We start from the raw sequence: 17,578 nt of genomic DNA, 5'->3' as shown, positions 1-17,578 counted from the left end.
TGGTATTAAATGCATATATTGTGAAAAAAGAAAGGCTGAAAATAAATAATATAAACGCTCATATCAAAAAGTAAGCTAAAAAACCATCAAACCTAACACAAAGTAGAAAAGAATACTAGTAAAGATAAAAACACAGTTTTGAGAATATAAAACAAGCATATTTTAGAGAATATAAAACAAGCATCACAAAAGCCAAATGTTGATTATTTGGAATAATTAGTAACATTTGTAAATTTCTAGCAAAATTGATTTTTAAAAATGAGACAGGAAACTATCAATACAAGGATTGAAAAAGCAAATATCACTGCAGACCTACAGATATTTGGAAAGATAATAAAAGAACATTATGATAGACTGCAATTTTATGCTATGATAAAAACATAATTGATCAAAACTAACAGAAGGAGAAATAAAAATTTGAATGCTCCTATTGTCAACTATTCTTACAATCCTTTCCTCAAAAGAACTTTAGCCCTACATGGCCTGACCAGTGAATTCTTTTAAATATTAAAGGAAGAAATAGTATTGACCACACACAAATTCCACAGATAAGAATGAAAATAGGAACACATTTGTAAACTTTGTACGAGGTCAGCATATCCCTGAAAAGGACAAGAAAGGAAAATTTACAAATCAAAGCCCTTCCATGAGCATTGATATAAATATCCTCAACTGATCAGCAAATTAATCTCTACAATATATTAAATGATACGATCTATTGACTAAACAGGTTCTTTCCTCTAAAGCAAGGGTGATTTAAAATAAGAAAATCAATAACAGCTCATCTCATAAACAGATAAAAGAAAGAGGAGAAATCATGTAATAATCTCAGAATCATGCGATGAAATTCAATACCCAATCATAAGAAAAATCTATTGGAATCTATTAGAATTCCCAAAGGGAGTTCATCACAGCACCTACAGTGGAAGATTATGGGGCAACATGAAAAACACAAGAAATGAAATAGAAAACAAAATAGATGCTTTCATTAAAGCTTTATCAAAACTTGTGTTCTTATGCATCAACTGTGAGGCAACACAGAAAGCAAACTCCTTAAATCAATAAAGACTATAGATAAAACCTTCAGACTAGCCTATGTTACACTAAAGTATAATTATGAAAATAGTACAAAGAAATATGTTTCAGCTTCACCAATTCCTTTGTGTTGCCTCGCAGTTGATGCATAAGAATACAAGTTTCAATATAGCTTTAATGAAAGCTTCTATTTTGTTTTCTATTTCAATTCTTATGTTTATCATGTTGCCCCATAATCTTCCACAGCAGGTGCTGTGATGACCTCCCTTTGGGAATGGAAGACTTTCTCCCCCAGGTGCCTGGAGTTCTTCTAGCAGAACACCCTCAGTCATTCACTCCACAGGGACGGCCCAGCTAAGGAGAGTTGTGGCAGCCATGGCCAGGCCCAGGCCCCTTCTGGTGTGGTCACATCCAACCACTAACCAACCTGGGTATGTAAATTCCCACCCTTTCACCCCAACTAGGGATGATCTTGAGAGTCTTCCTACTCTCAGAACTCCCAGGGTACTGGCTGAGGCCTCCACTGAGCTTACCTTCACAGCACACCTTCTTCCTCTGCCCAGCTGTCCTTCCCACTTTCCTTTCCTTGGCCTTTTTTCAAGAGCACACCCTGAGAGCCTCCCATAAGTCAGCCCCCTTGCAGTCAGCTTCCTAAGGTCCCAGACAATTGCATCTTCATGGATTTATTTTTTTAATGGTTGTTTAATAATCCATAGAATTTAAACATCATAAATCTCTAATCTTCATTTTATATATGTATAATTATTTTCTTCTGTAACACCGAAACACCATTTTGTTGGGTGTTAATTTAATATTCTTTGAATTATTTTCTTAAAGTGCATAGCCAAGAGTAAAATAACTAGGTCACAATTTGTGTGTGCGTGTATATATATATATATATATAATACAAATTATACTACCATATTCTATATGTGAGTTATATATATTCATAAGAATACAGTGTTGTCATTCTGTAGCATGTGATTTTGCCAGCTGGTAACACACATCAATCACTCTACTCGTACAACAGCTTTCCCAGTACATCACATAATTAGGCATGATTTTATTTGACAATTAAGAGATATAAAATAGAACCTCACCCTTCCTTTAGTTTGAAATTCTATTCACTAGCAATTTTAAAAATTACTTCTTTTTTCTATAATTAACATAATTTTTAGCAAAGTAATGGAATTAAAAGAAATGTTATATGAGTGTTATACCTAATTGTTTTCACTACTTTTTTCTAAACAGCTCATAAATCCCTGGTTTTTATACAGCTGTTCTCCTAGGAATCAAGGATATAGAACCCAATAATTAAAGTAGACATGTTTGATAGAGTTAATTCATTTTTCATCCAAATTGCTATTATTATTCTGACACAATAAATATGCCATTAATTAAAAATAACTGCTATAGAAATACATAGAATTTAAAGCATATGAATCTCAGTTCTAACACTTTTTAGTAATTTAAACTTTCATAATCTTATTTACTTATCGGTATAAATGTGGACACAAATGCCCACCTTGTAGCGTAGATATGACGACTACGTGTGTAAAGCCGCTGGAGTAGTATCTGCTCTGTAAAAGAGCTCCCATGTTCTGCACTGTAGAAAAAAAGAGAAGATTCTGGCCCATATTTCAGGGCATAAATGAAAGAAAACTAGCCTATAGTAGGAGAAAGCAAATATAGGATGGTCCTGGACAGAGCCTTCCAGAGCAGCAGTCTGAATGAGAGATAATAAACACTATCTAGGAAAAACATGTATACTCATGTTTTGTAAGAAGATCTCAACTTCTGACAAGGACTTCCTGAAAATGGTCCTCTGCAGGCATGGACTTCAGGTAACTGGTTATATATGTTTGCCTGTATCTCCTACAGGGCTGCTATAAATAAGACTCAGCAAAGTCCAGGCACTGATGACATGAAGGAAAGAATGGAGTTGCTATGGATCCTCTAGCCAGGTCTGAAACCCTGACATTCCAAGCAGACTCAAGGGCATAAAGGCAAATGACGGTAGAAGACTCTGCTACAGTACGACTTTCCTGTATGATCACCTACGTGGTGATGTGGTAGCCTCTTGGGTGCAGATAGCAGCTCACTCTTAAAGACATTTGCTTATGATTTATCGGAAGAAAGGTGTAGCAACTAGATTTACATAGAAGTTCTAGTCACAGAATACCTGGGCGAACTTGAAGGCTTTTTCATCATTTGGGCTTATAATGTCATATCAAAGAGAATATTTAAAAGTGAATAATCCAAATACAATTTACTTGAGTAATATTTGTTGAATGCCTACTCCATGGTAAGAAACCACTTAGAAAATAAGGATATAAAACCAAATTAGACAAGAGACTGCCCTCAAAGAGGTCAAGTGATCACTCTACCTTAAACAAAATTTATGAAAATGCATTTTTAGGTAATAATATTTTAAATTATCGAATAAATGGCTACTTGTTAGAGACTAGACCAAAATGTTGCCCATAAATTTATAAAATATTTTCCTCTGTTCAGGTCCTTTGCCTACTTTTTAATAGGGTCGTTTGTTTTTTTTCTTGTAAATTTGTTTTCATTCCTGGTGGATTCTGGATATTACACCTTCGTCAGATGAATAGATTGCAAAAATTTTCTCCCTATCTGTAGGTTGCCTATCACCCTGATGATACTCAAAAGAAGACATTTGTGCAGCCAACAAACATATGAAAGAAAGCTCAACATCACTGATCACTAAAGAAATGCAAATGAAATCCACAATGAGATACCATCTCATGCCAGTCAGAATGGCCAACATTGAAAGTCAAGAAACAGCAGATGCTGGCCAGGTTGTGGAACAATAAGAATGCCTTTACACTGTTGGTGGGAATGTATGTTAGTTCAACCATTACGGAAGATGGTATGGTGATTCCTCAAAGATCTAGAGCCAGAAATACCATTTGACCCAGCAATCAATACATCCACATGTGTTCATTATAGCACTATTCACAATAGCAAGGACATGGAATCAACCCAAAGGCCCATCAATGATAGACTGGATAAAGAAAATGTGGTACATATATACCATGGAATACTATGCAGTCATAAAAAGGAATGAGATCATGTCCTTTGCAGGGACACAGATGGAGCTGGATGCCATTATCCTCAGCAAACTAATGCAGGAAGAGAAAGCCAAACACCACATATTCTCACTTATAAGTGGGAGCTTAACAATGACATCATATGGACACAAGGAGGGGAACAATATACACTGGGGCCGGTTGGGGGCTGGTATGGGGGGAGGGAGAGTATTAGGAAAAACAACTAATACGTGCAGGGCTTAATACCTAGGTGATGGGTGGATAGGTGCAGCAAACCACCACGGCCCACAGATATCTATGTAATAAACTTGCACACCCTACACATCTACCCCAGACCTAAAAATAGAATTAAAAATTAAAAAAATTTCCTCTGAATCAGATATTTACCTACCTTTATATTGCCTTATGTTATCCATTCATTAAACTCAGTAAATATTTATTGAGAAGCTATGAGCATATAGCAATGAACTACAGAGAAACAATTCCGGCGTGTGGGTATGTGGGCTTGAGAATGAGAAAGACTGGGGACATTTTGTAGCTTGGACATTGGGAATTGCAGTAGTAATAAGGGGTTGAACAGATGGGAGAAAGGAAAGAGTAGAACTTGCAGGGAATAGAACAAACTGGGGAGAAAAAGACTGTTAAAATCAATAGGACCTACTCATGGAAGGATTAGCCTTAAAGTGAAAGGAGATATCTTCCACAGAGACCAGTGGAAAAGAGACAAAGGTGAGCATAGATATTTGGAGCTGTCATAAGTGGATTCTGAGAGTGTCTGTTCCCCTCAGTCTCAACTATGGTCCTGGCACAAATTAGATGTTCAGCAGACACCTGCAGAATAAATAAGAGATAAATTTCAAAACAAAATCTCCACATAGAATGCTCTTACAACAGTGACATTATAAAAGTATGTAAAAGATTAGCAAAATTCTCAATAACGTAAGATGAATGTATATGTCAGTCAGTTTGTGATAATGATTCATAAAGGACAAAGTGTGTGAAAAATACAAAGGGAAGTAAACAATGAAGTTTCAATTTGCTTCTTACTCATAAAACTCCCAGAAATTTTATGTCACTATAATTAATCCCTAACAATTCTGAAAATGCATGAATGCTAAATACTTCAGTTATTCTTAAACTGTGACAGGCCGTTTATTTGGAACGCTGTGTTTCAGTCTCAGTTCTGTTCAAACCTCAATAAGAAAAAACCCATGCAGTCATTGCCTAGGTGGAAGACAGGATCATATTCAGGTGATTTGTACATAGCAGGGACACATGTTTGAAAATGCTAGCTTTTCCTAGCACCTGTGGGTAGTCATTGCATGTCAAACTGAGCAAGCTGATGTCCAATTCAATTCTGCTAGAGGAGGTGGAACCCAAGTTAATGTGGGCTGTAGGCCCAGCCAACTCATTTACCTGTGGTCACTGGGTGGAGGGCTGCATGCAAAAATGATACATGATGTTGTGTCACTTTGCCCTTGGGAACACACAGGTGAGGACATACAGAGGTGTGGTTCGACTCCCAGCTCCTACTCCACACTTAACTAATGACATTGGGCAAATCATTAAATCATTAAGACTTTCCAAGCCTCCATTTTCCTTTTTGTAAAATAAAGATTAATGGAGCCTCTTGCAAGACTAATAAAAGTATTAGAAATAATATATTTAAAGCATTCATATGCAGCATGGAATGTGGTGTAATTTTATAAATCATAGGCACCATTAGTAGAAGTAGCAGCATTAACAGCCTAATTCTTCTCAACCCATGATGAAGCTGATATCAAGATTGATTCTTAGCAATTTTAGCTGCCCCTTTTTAAGGAAGATTCTTGCTCTGTCACCAATATAAATTCTGTGGTCAACTCTTATTTTGAATTAGAAATTTTTATATTTATAATTTAAAGTTACGAACACACTGTGAAATATGTCACAATGTCTTCCCTAAGTGTCACATTGCTTTCTGTGGAACCTAGATACACCACGTACTCTAGGACAACAATGTAATTGCTTGCATAATTTTTTGAAGAGTGCTTTCAGCCTTGCTTCTATGTGACTTAAAGAAATTACTGCTGGTTAATAATTCAGTCCCTGCTTAAGCACCTGATTCATAATTTAGGAACAGTTTGATAAAATAAATATTCACTTGAGACAGGAATTAGGTATTCCCATGTGCAACAAGCATTGGTGTGAAAAGCATTGATGTGAACACGGTTGCCCTCCCAAATTATCTCACTTTGTAATAATGGCCCAGACCAGGAGAAGAGGCTCACGCCTGTAATCCCAGCACTCTGGGAGGCTGAGGCAGGTGGATGACCTGAGGTCAGGAGTTCGAGACCAGTCTTGCCAACATGGGGAAATCCCGTCTCTACTAAAAATACAAAAATTAGCTGGGAGTGGTGTCAGGTGCCTGTAATCCCAGCTACTCCGGAGGCTGAGGCAGGAGAATCGCTTGAACGCAGGAGGAAGAGGTTGTAGTGAGCCAAAGTCGTACCATTGCACTCCAGCCTGGGTGACAGAAGCAAAGCTCCATCTCAAGAGAAAGAAAGAAAGAGAGAAAGAAATAAAGAAAGTAAGGAAGAAAGGAAGAAAGAAAGAAAAAGAAAGAAAGGCTCAGAATTCAGAAGAGAGAATATCAATCATGCTTTATTTCAGAGAAAACTTAATAATACAAAAAAAAGTTTGCATCAACAATTTCTCTCAAGGAATCTTCAAAGTTAAAAAAGATTAGCTATTTTCCTCAGCATCACATTTATGCCTTTAAAAACATCTACATGTTCTAATATTCTAAAAGTTACTTGTATTAGGCCATTGTTGCATTGCTATAAAGAAATACCTGAGATTGAGTAATTTATACAGAAAAGAGGATTGCTTGGCTCAGGGTTCTGCAGGCTGTACAGGAAGCATAGCTATTCTGCCTCCGGGGAGGCTTCTGGGTCGGGACACAGATCAAAAATATATCTTTACTCATTCTTATTTAGTTACTGAAGCTAACAGAAACTTATTTATTAAACTAAATTTATTAAATGCACTCTTCCTATTTGTATGGCACAAATGGCTGTGTGTCTGAAACCAGATCAAGGCAAAGTATCCATGACTATTAGGGATGGTGATAATGACAATGATAAAGATAACAATTATAATGGCAGCAATGAAAAGCACTAAAAGATCTAGTTTTTAAAGTTATTTTATAGTTAATCTCTCTCAGCATTCTGCTTTTCAGCACTGGCATTCCAGAAACTAGAAGAATCTTACTATAAATATAAGAATATCACTGTTGCAAAGAATATAGCATGTGATGCTCTCTTGAATGAAGAAAAGTCAATGATATTTCCTTTGGAGATTTCCACCGGAAAATTTTTGGATAGCTTGTCAGTCCTTACCAACAATAACTGTCCCTCTCTCAGTCCATAGGAAATTTACATAATATCTGACTAGATTTGACCCCATTGGCAAAGGAAAGGTCTCTCCCTGGGAATTTGAAGTTATAACTAAGAGAGTCCAGACTCAAGTTTGAGTGGATCACTAGAATGTGACAACAGGAGTGCCAGCATGGCCAGCTGCTGCATGCCCACGGTATGGTGGACACTGCAAACAGACACAGAAAGTAGGCAGGAGAGACAGGGGAAGCACACCGGGAGGCCTTAACTCCTGTGGCTTCCTGCTTCTAGCCCTTACCTACCATCTGGCTGCATTGACTAAGACACCAGTACTTTTACAATGAAGTCTCCATTTTTGATTTTGCTGGTTTAAACACGCTCTCATTATTTAAATTGAGAGGAGATCTAATCAAGATGGAAGACAGGCACTATTAGAGCACAGAAGGACTGAAGTTAATTTTGCTAAAAGAATGGTCTAGGGTTAAAAATTGGGCAAAACTTTGAAATATATGATTAGATGTCAATGGGCTTATACACAAATATTCCAAGGGTGATAATAGAGTATTAAAAGGCAGAAATGGGAGAAAGTGTGGGTGTTTGATAGAAGTGATTACTGTCGTGTGAAAGATTTATTATGTGTATTGGAGACAGAATGAGAGAAAATGAGAAAAATAGCTTTTGGGTTCAAATAACAAAAGATCTTAAACGCATTCATAAAATATTAACAGTTTATTTTGTTATCAGTGGAGGTCCACCAAAGTCTGTGACCATGGGCAGAAAACAAAAAAGGATAAATCTCATTTTCAAAACTTTGTACAAATTACTTACAGTCATCCTTCAGTATCTGCAGGGGATTGGTTCTTGGATCCCCGCAGTTACCGAACTCTGTACATATTCAAGTTCCGCCGTCGGCGCTGCCGAACCAGCAGGTGAGATAGTTCTTCCCTCCACATCCAAGATTTCACATCCCACTAATACTGTGTGTTCATTTCAGCCGCATTTAAGTGGACCCAGCCATTCACACCTGTGTAGTTCAAGGGTCAACTGTGCTACCAACTTTCACATTATTTCCAGCTTCTTTTTTTTCTAACACTTAAAAAAATAGGCCATAGGCCAGGCGTGGTGGCTCATGCCTGTAATCCCAGCACTTTGGGAGGCCGAGGTGGGTGGATCACGAGGCCCGGAGATCGACACCATCCTTACTAACACGGTGAAACACCGTCTCTACTAAAAATATAAAAAATTAGCCGGGCGTGGTGGCGGGCGCCTGTAGTCCCAGACTCGGGAGGCTGAGGCAGGAGAATGGCGTGAACCCGGGAGGCAGAGCTTTCAGTGAGCCGAGATCGTGCCACTGCACTCCAGCCTGGGTGACAAAGCGAGACTCCGTCTCACAAAAAAAAAAAAAAAAAAAAAGAAATAAAATAAAAAGTAAATAAAACAAAATCCATCTCTGTGACTTGGATCTTGGAAACTTGAATATGACTATTTTGGAAATGCATGTTTGGACATGGATGTTATGACCATCATTTTATGATTATCTGCCTATGATAACAAGGTGTCTATTCAATACTAAGATTGTGTTGATTCAGCTTATTTACACTATATAGCAGATGACAAACTGCATCTCAGATCAAAAAAGTGACCTGTCCAAGACCTCTTAGCAGGAAAGGCTTAGAGCACAGATACAAATTGGAGTTTATAACCACAGCCAGAAGCCATAGAAAAGTCTTCATAGAGGAGCTGGGATTTGATTTATGTCTTTTTTATTTTTTTAATTATACTTTAAGTTCTAGGGTACATGTGCACAACGTGCAGGTTTGTTACATATGTATACATGTGCCATGTTGGTGTGCTGCACCCATTAACTAGTCATTTACATTAGGTATATCTCCTAATGCTATCCTTCGCCCCTCCCCCCACCCCACGACAGGCCCCAGTGTGTGGTGCTCCCCACCCTGTGTCCAAGTGTTCTCATTGTTCAATTCCCACCTATGAGTGAGAACATGCAGTGTTTGGTTTTCTGTCCTTGCGATAGTTTGCTCAGAATGATGGTTTCCAGCTTCATCCATGTCTCTGCAAAGGACATGAAATCATCATTTTTTATGGCTGCATAGTATTCCATGGTGTATATATGCCACATTTTCTCAATCCAGTCTATCACTGATGGACATTTGGGTTGGTTCCAAGTCTTTACTATTGTGAATAGTGCCACAATAAACATACGTGTGCATGTGTCTTTATAGCAGTATGACTTATAATCCTTTGGGTATATACCCAGTAATGGGATGGCTGGGTCAAATGGTATTTCTAGTTCTAGATCCCTGAGGAATCGCCACATTGTCTTCCACAATGGTTGAACTAGTTTACAGTCCCACCAACAGTGTAAACGTGTACCTATTTCTCCACATCCTTTCCAATGCCTGTTGTTTCCTGACTTTGTAATGATCGCCATTCTGATTGGTGTGAGATGGTATATCATTGTTGTTTTGATTTGCATTTCTCTGATGGCCAGTGATGATGAGCATTTTTTCATGTGTCTGTTGGCTACATAAACGTCTTCTTTTGAGAAATGTCTATTCATATCCTTTGCCCACTTTGTGATGGGGTTGTTTGATTTTTTTCTTGTAAATTTATTTAAGTTCTTTGTAGATTCTGGATATTAGCCCTTTGTCAGATGGGTAGATTGCAAAAATTAACTCCCATTCTATAGGTTACCTGTTCACTCTGATGTTAGTTTCTTTTGCTGTGCAGAAGCTCTTTCGTTTAATTCGATCCCATTTCTCAATTTTGGCTTTTGTTGTCATTGCTTCTGGTGTTTTAGACATGAAGTCCTCGCCCATGTCTATGTCCTGAATGGTATTGCCTAGGTTTTCTTCTAGAGTTTTTATGGTTTTAGGTCTGACATTTAAGCCTTTAATCCATCTTGAATTAATTTTTGTATAAGGTGTAAGGAAGGAATCCAATTTCAGCTTTCTACATATGGGTAGCCAGTTTTCCCAGCACCATTTATTAAATAGGGCATCATTTCCCCAATTCTTGTTTTTGTCAGGTTTGTCAAAGATCAGAAGGTTGTAGATGTGTGGTATTATTTCTGAAGGCTCTGTTCTATTCCATTGGTCTATATCTCTGTTTTGGTACCAATACCATGGTGTTTTTGTTACTGTAGCCGTGTAGTATAATTTGAAGTCAGGTAGCATGATGCCTCCAGCTTTGTTCTTTTGGCTTAGGATTGTCTTGGCAATGTGGGCTGTTTTTTGGTTCCATATGAACTTTAAAGTAGTTTTTTTCCAATTCTGTGAAGAAAGTCATTGGTAGCTTGATGGGGATGGTATTGAATCTATAAATTACCTTGGGCAGTATGACCATTTTCACGATATTGCTTCTTCCTATCCATGAGCATGGAATGTTCTTCCATTTGTTTGTGTCCTCTTTTATTTCATTGAGCAGTGGTTTGTAATTCTCCTTGAAAAGGTCCTTCACATCCCTTGTGTGTTGGATTCCTAGGTATTTTATTCTCTTTGAAGCAATTGTGAATGGGAGTTCACTCATGATTTGGCTCTCTGTTTGTCTATTATTGGTGTATAGGAATGCTTGTGATTTTTGCACATTGATCTTGTATCCTGAGACTTTGCTGAAGTTGACTATCAGCTTAAGGAGATTTTGGGCTGAGACTACGGGGCTTTCTAAATATACAATCATGTCATCTGCAAACAGGGAAATTTGACTTCCTCTTTTCCTAATTGAATACCCTTTATTTCTTTCTCCTGCCTGACTGCCCTGGCCAGAACTTCCAACACTATGTTGAATAGGAGTGGTGAGAGAGGGCATCCTATGGATAAATTCCTGGACACATACACCCTCCCAAGACTAAACCAGGAAGAAGTTGAATCTCTGAATAGACAAATAACAGGCTCTGAAATTGAGGCAATCATTAACAGCCTACCAACCAAAAAAAGTCCAGGACCAGACGGATTCACAGCCAAATTCTGCCAGAGGTTCAAAGAGGAGCTGGTACCATTCCTTCTGAAACTATTCCAATCAATAGAAAAAGAGGGAATCCTCCCTAACTCATTTTATGAGGCCAGGATCATCCTGATACCAAAGCCTGGCAGAGACACAACAAAAAAAGAGAATTTTAGACCAATATCCCTGATGAATATCAATGCAAAAATCCTCAGTAAAATACTGGCAAACCAAATCCAGCAGCACATCAAAAAGCTTATCCACTATGATCAAGTGGGCTTTATCCCTGGGATGCAAGACTGGTTCTACATATGCAAATCAATAAACGTAATCCATCATATAGAACCAAAGACAAAAACCACATGATTATCTCAACAGATGCAGAAAAGGCCTTCAACAAAATTCAACAGCCCTTCATGCTAAAAACTCTCAATAAATTAGGTATTGATGAGATGTATCTCAAAATAATAAGAGCTATTTATGACAAACCCTCAGCCAATATCATACTCAATGGGCAAAATCTGGAAGCATTCCCTTTGAAAACTGATTTATGTCTTAAAGAAAATAGATAATTACTCAAGTTGAGGGTAGGAGGCAGGTCCATGTGGATGGCTGGAACGGACATGAGAAGCTCTGGGTCCTCACCCATCTTGGTTACTTACAAGCTGTGTGGACTGGGCAGAACCCAGAGGAACCATCTGAGCCTGATTTCTTTTATAAAAAATTGAATGTATTCTTTCTGTTTATGTCATAGGGCACTTGAAGGCATGAAATGTCACACATAAAACACAACAAACATGCAATGGCAAAAGTTTCACAATAGGATCACACAGGAAAACATATTGAACAATAAATCGTCTCCGTTTTTCATGGAATAAATGTAGGGAGTAAAGAGAATAAAGAATGAAAAATAGGGTGGTGCCAGCACACACTGGTGTGAAACCCAGGGGAGGATGATCCACATCTTGCTCATGGTTAGTGCCTGGACAGAGCCCTGAGAGGGAAGCTTATAAGCCGGAGCCCCTCCTTATGTTCAGCTGCTCTTTGCATCTTTGACTGTGACATAGTTCCTACCCAGCATTGGGCTCCAGTTGTTTCTTTGGTGCAGTATAAATCTTCTCCTGAGTTATATTATTAGCACTTAGATCCTACTTCAGTGTATTTAATTCCCTCCAGATCAGCGAATTTGTAAATACACCTTAGCACAATGCTGGGGCATGCACAGTGTTAACAAGTATAAATTTGAGATTAGTAGGTTTTACATGTGGCTTGTGGAATCAGAATCATGGTATCATCATATTCTCTATTTGTTTAATAAGCAAAATAGGCTAAGTATCTAGGAAGATGAAAAGAGCAAGCAGGCTTATTTGGATGAGGAAGTGGTCAGCTCCTAGGTGGTTTCTTAGCAGCTTACAGAAGCTCACAGGGCACTCTGAGGTCTGATTGGCTGCCGTGGGAAGATGGAAGTCGGAAGGCCAGAGAGTGTTTAGCTTACCTCAAAAATTTTCAGATATCCTCAACTTAAAAACAAAAATCTGCAACTCAGCAGTTCTATTTTGCTTGTTCCTAGTGTTCTAGAAGTGGCTTTTAATTTCCAATGACTCTATGTTCTCTCCAATGTAAAGATTTTGCTGCATGCCAAAGGCTTCTCACTCTCCTTAGAAGCTCTTTCACAGACATTGAAGGGAGACAATCTTCTACAGCCCAACTGGCCCCCACCCTGACTGTCTCAAATAGTCAGGAAAAATATGATTTCCCACCAGATAGGTGCTGACCTTTCCAAGCCCATTTGTAGGGAGCAGCTCATCCAACTGCACCACCCAACCTGCACTTCATTGCTCAAATTGCAGAAAATTTTAAAATAAGATTCTTCTAAAATGATTAAGCCCATAGTATGAACTATATATAGTTACTTAGTTAAATGTATCACTATCTGCATGCTGTAACCTACTAAAAGTATGCAGTGAGGTACTCATTGTTGCCTTATCCTATTTGGGACTTACTAAAACTCTTAGAAGAGTCTATCACACCTCGTCTATTTTCCAAAGTTATGTGCATTAACATGGTCAGGTCTTTGGCCCTGGGCTTTATATTAATTGCAGAGAATTCTCAGTTTTTCTTTCTGCAAATCTGGTGAATATAAATTTATACATAGAGCCCCTGTCATGTGTTTTTGTTTGTTGGGTTGTGTGTTATTATGTCTCTGGCTACACCTCAGAAGCTGTTAATAGATCCATGGATGCATGGGCATGCAGTAAGACAAAGCCACTTGTGTCTTCCAGACAGGCAGAAATGATTTCTCTCTATCAGTGCTTTACATTTTGGCCATGGAAAATGCCTCAGAGATTACTCAAAGAAGCATCCTCCGAAGTGGGGCATCACTCAGGTTATTTTCTCTGACTCCCCCAGATAAATATAATGTTTGTCAAACATTGTCCATTTTGTTTCCGGTACATATCACACATCACTGTCATATGGCATTGTAAATTGACTTAGAATTACACTGTAAGTTTTCACAGAGAAGGAACCATCCTTTTAATTTCTTTCTTTGCCAATTGATGTGTAGCAGTATCCAATAAACTTTTTAAATCCATTTACAAGCATGTATTTATCCTCTGCAGCAGCAGTCCCCAGTCTTTTTGGCTCCAGGGACTAGTTGCATGGAAGACAGTTTTTTGACCGATGTGGTGGGGGTTGGTTCCTGGATGAAACTGTTCCACCTCAGATCATCAGGCATTAGTTCGATTCTCATAAGGAGTGCTCAGCCTACATCCCTCACATGCACAGTTCACTGCAGCGTTTGCACTCCTAGGAGAATCTAATGCCCCCGCTGATCTGACAGGAGGTGGAGCTCAGGCAGTACCTCCTGCTGTGTAGCTCCTTTCTTAACAAGGCTGCAGACTGGCACCCATCCACTGCATGGGGGCTGGGGACCCCTGCTGTACAGTGTACCAGACTGTGAGTCAGGTGCTGGGCATACAATGGAAACAAGACAGAGTGGACCCTAGCCTCCTGGAACTTCCATTCTTATGGGGAGAGAGATGAAAAGAAGCAAACAGAAGCCTAAAAAAAAAAATCAACTCAATAAAGAAACAAACAAGAAAAAGTGTGAGAGAATGATAGAGAGGGAAGGCCTCTCACTCTAGGTGCCGCTTAAGAAGAAAACTAAAGAAAAGGAGAAATGTTGAAGAAGAGCCTTCCAAGAAAAAGGGGGTCACATATGCAAATGTCCTTATTTGGAAAGCAAAAGAAATAATGGGTGCATGAACAAATGGATGTGAAACACACACACACAGAGACACTTTAGGCTAAGTGCTTTATATAAAAAAATTATTTCCCACTATATGGAAGGCAGCCTTGCTAGAGGGTTTTCTAGGTCTCATTACCAGTCATCACCCATGAGCATAACAGCTGTAGGCTTTATTTTTATATGGTTTAATGTAGCCCCTCCTGATTACAAACCCAAAGCAGAGCCAGAAGGAGGCTGCCAGAAAGCAAGGCAGCACTGTGATCACATGGAACTGCCCAGGGCATGCTGATCCTAACCCCAGTGCACCTCCTGGGCTATGCATAAAGGAGGCCACGTCCTGTGAACTGTAAGCTGCAGGAGAAAAAACTTGTTTATTTTTGAAAATTGGGCCAGTTTTGGTAAATATTTCCCATACCTGGGTTTACAACGTGAGAGTTTGTTTTAGAATATTCAGTATAAACTCGTAGTTGGGTGGCATCATAGCTTATAGGTTGAGATTGTGGGCTTTGGATTCAGCCTTCCTAGGTTCAAACCCTGACCCTATGACTTTCCACCCATGTGATTGCTTTAACCTTTCTGTGACTCAGTTTCACCATTCCTGAAGGTATTTCTCCTGTTCCTCTGCCCATTCTCTCCCTACCTTATTTCCCCTTCTTCTTCCTCTAGCTATCGCTTTGATATAGACATGTACTGAGGTCTTGCCCATGGGGATTGAGATCAAATTAATGCTGCAAGACCATTAGAACAGTGCCCAGCTCCCGAGGGGTCTATTACAATGAAAACTTTCATCATTAGAATTTTCTTCTTTTGTTGAACAAAAATCTCCATCTTTTAAAACTTCTATTGATTATCTTAGAGTTGCCCCTTGATATAGCATATGATCTCCAAGTTCATTCAAATACGTTTAAGAGTCAATTGCACCTAAAGCTCTGTGTTATTTGTTGAGAACAATTTAATTTCAAGTTATCTTCCATATTGATACGCCTGCAAATAGCTGCCGGGTTTTCATTCCAAATTTAAGGTATTCCCCAGGCTGTTTTACATTTGCTTTTATTCTGAAATGTTTTTATACTTATTCAATGCTCACATAGTCAAAAAGCAGATGACAACTATTTGGTATAGTTGTGTCTCCCTATATAGTAACAATTCTAAGATATCAATTTTATTTAAAAGGGAGAAAAAAGTGTTTTTGAGGACAATCCTCCACACACAATAACGGGTGACCTAGGACCCCTCCTTGGACTCTGAAGCAGTTCTGATGCCCAGGCCATGGGAAGGGCCGTCATAGGCATCCGCTCTACTTACGCTGCACATCGCAAAGGCATGACACTCTCATTGTCCAGAAATTATGCCAGGTTTTTGCAATGCCTGCTAGCTATACAGTGCATACACTCGCCCCTCACCCCTACAGCCAGCTTACCTCTTAGAAATAGACTGAGAAATAAGAAAGTATGAAAAAATAAGAAAAATCGAAATCATATGCTTTATTAAAAAGGGCTACAAGAGCTTGGTCTGGTCCTATGTGGACTTTTTGTCACTTAATTCTAATAATATTTGAAATTTTTCAATGTTTAAAATCAAAACATAATAATGTTTATAATGACAAAATATTTTAAACTTTTCTTTGGTTTAAGAAGTCTGAATGATATGAAATACATTTTTGAAAAATTTACCACAAAATAAAGCATGGTGATTTGTTTGCTAATTTTATTTTTAGGTTTTTGAGCTTGAAGTGGTAAATTCTTGTGCCTTTTGAGAAATTTGGCTCTTCAGAAAGTATTAATCCTAGGGAAAATCAGAAAGCTTTTTACTATGTATGTGTGCGTGTGTGTGTATGTGTGTGTGTGTGTATATATATATATACACATGTTTGTGTATTTATGTATTTATTACTGTAAGTGATCTGGGCTTGGGGAAAATCATTTATAAAACATATAAAGTGTTATATCTTTTTAATAGCTTATAAAGTGAATTATATGTACCATGGAGCTTGATATTATAAAATATTAACATCTCTAGACTAAGATAACCCCTGTATTTGAACACTTTATTTGGAATCCTTTCATAAGCAGTAATGCTCTAATGTGCTGTATGTATCTATTTTTAATTACCTTTATCAGATAGCAATCAGAAAGCTGATTGGGAACCTTGATTTTGAAATGACAACAACCAAATCAAACCTAAAAAAATTCAATTTTTTTCTGTTTTTTTAAGTGATTTTTATCAAGACTGGGCAAACTGGAATGTTTAAGCTATATAATACCCACCATGATTTTTTTTTCTTTTTCGAGTACTTTGGGAACTTGATAAAATCTTAAAATTCTCTCATAAACATAAGCATAGCAATAATGGGAACCTTAGAATTTTCACTTTAATTCATTTGTATGTTTATGTTATGCAGAAACATTGGTTCCATATTTCAAATTAAGAAATCACTGAAGAATGAATAACTCCCTTTCAGTCATAAGCATCCTCAACATTATCAACCCAAAATAAGATGCCCTTAATTCTTAAGTTATCCTCTAGCCTCCTTTCTTCCCTCCCCTTCACACATAACGATGTTTTTTAGTTTTCAGTGTAGAAGTCTTGCACTTCTTTTGCTAAATGTGTTCTTAAGCATTTCATTTTGGATGCTATTGTTGTAAATGGAATTGTTTTCATTTAAATTTTGGATTGTTTCATTGCTAGTGCATAAAGGCAGATTGATTTTTGTATATTGACTGAGTATACCAAACCCTTGCTAAACTTACCAGCTCTTCATTCTAATGGCTTCTTTCTGGTTGCTTTAGGATCTTATATGTGAAAGATAATTTCAAGTGCAAATAGAGCTAGTTTTACTTCTTTCCTTCTAATTGAGATGACTTTTATTTCTTTTTATA

At 38.0% G+C, this 17,578-nt stretch overlaps 1 long non-coding RNA gene across 2 annotated transcripts in view, besides 1 other annotated feature; it reads right to left on the bottom strand.

Annotated features, from left to right (window-relative positions):
- Positions 1–17,578, bottom strand: part of LOC105375826 (uncharacterized) — a 60,415-nt gene that overhangs the window by 17,587 nt on the left and 25,250 nt on the right. The window lies entirely within an intron of this gene.
- Positions 4,050–4,202: a silencer, noted in NCBI's record as "fragment chr8:50119678-50119830 (GRCh37/hg19 assembly coordinates)". NCBI's record gives its function as "represses an EF-1alpha promoter that drives an FKBP-Casp9 reporter gene in an ReSE screen in HepG2 liver carcinoma cells {active_cell/tissue: HepG2}" and the evidence as "EXISTENCE:reporter gene assay evidence [ECO:0000049][PMID:32094911]".

The sequence above is a fragment of the Homo sapiens genome, chromosome 8, assembly GCF_000001405.40.
Source record: "Homo sapiens chromosome 8, GRCh38.p14 Primary Assembly".
Taxonomy (NCBI): domain Eukaryota; kingdom Metazoa; phylum Chordata; class Mammalia; order Primates; family Hominidae; genus Homo; species Homo sapiens.
Note: the sequence above shows the minus strand (reverse complement) of the source record. Positions and strands in the feature narration are given on the sequence as shown.